The sequence below is a fragment of the Homo sapiens genome, chromosome 5 (assembly GCF_000001405.40).
Source record: "Homo sapiens chromosome 5, GRCh38.p14 Primary Assembly".
NCBI lineage: Eukaryota > Metazoa > Chordata > Mammalia > Primates > Hominidae > Homo > Homo sapiens.
Genome location: NC_000005.10, coordinates 110,737,280 through 110,738,144, shown reverse-complemented (window position 1 = coordinate 110,738,144; position 865 = coordinate 110,737,280). Strand labels below are relative to the sequence as shown.

At 29.5% G+C, this 865-nt stretch overlaps 1 protein-coding gene across 18 annotated transcripts in view; it reads left to right on the top strand.

The window, feature by feature from the left end:
- The window catches only part of TMEM232 (transmembrane protein 232), a 351,524-nt gene that overhangs the window by 810 nt on the left and 349,849 nt on the right, over window positions 1–865 (top strand). The window lies entirely within an intron of this gene.

The window sequence follows — 865 nt, the reverse complement described above, 5'->3', positions numbered from 1 at the left end:
AGGATTCCTAGAGCTTTTCCAAGAGAACTCTGACGTGCAGTTCTCGATCTTCCAGATGCGAACCTTGATTGAGAGTGATAATCAACTTTGTTTTGATTGAACTGACATTTTTTTCTGTGGTTTTATCACTTTTTATTTTTTATGGGTGTATAGTAGGTGTATATATTTATGGGTTACATGAGATATTTTGATAGCGTACATTAAAATGTATAATTAACATTTTTAAATAACGAATTGACATTCTTAAATTTGATTGCGATGCAGCTTGGGCAAAGGTGTTGAGTCTCTTGACTGTATAAAATTTAAATGTCCATATAGTAAATTTTAAAATATATAGTAATCACAATTGAAAGGCAAATCACAAACAGAAAAATGACATTTTAACATGGTTTAAACAATGGAACAGTAGCTTTAATGTACAAAGAGTTCATACCAATGAATAAAGGCAAATCAGAAATATGAGCAAAGGACATGTAGAGGCAATTCATACAAAAAAAGGAAGTGTAAATAGATAATATCATATAAAAAGTCCTTTACTAATTGAAAAAAGGTAAATCTTAATTATCTTTCACGTATTAAGGTGTTTAAAAGGGAAAATGCACATTGTCTTTCCAGGTGAGAAGAAAGTAGCTTTCATTAATTTCTGAAGTGATATAAAACATAACTTTCTGATGGAGAGCAGTTTGGCACTATGTATCAAAAACTGTAAAAATAACCATATTTTTTGACTCCAAAATCTTAGAAAACAAATATAGGGGTTTTTTACATGTTTCTGGCATGGATAACATACATATGTTTATGGCATGCTTGCTCATAATAGGAAAAAAATAAGCAGGAATGCAAATATCAAATAATTATTATTGAT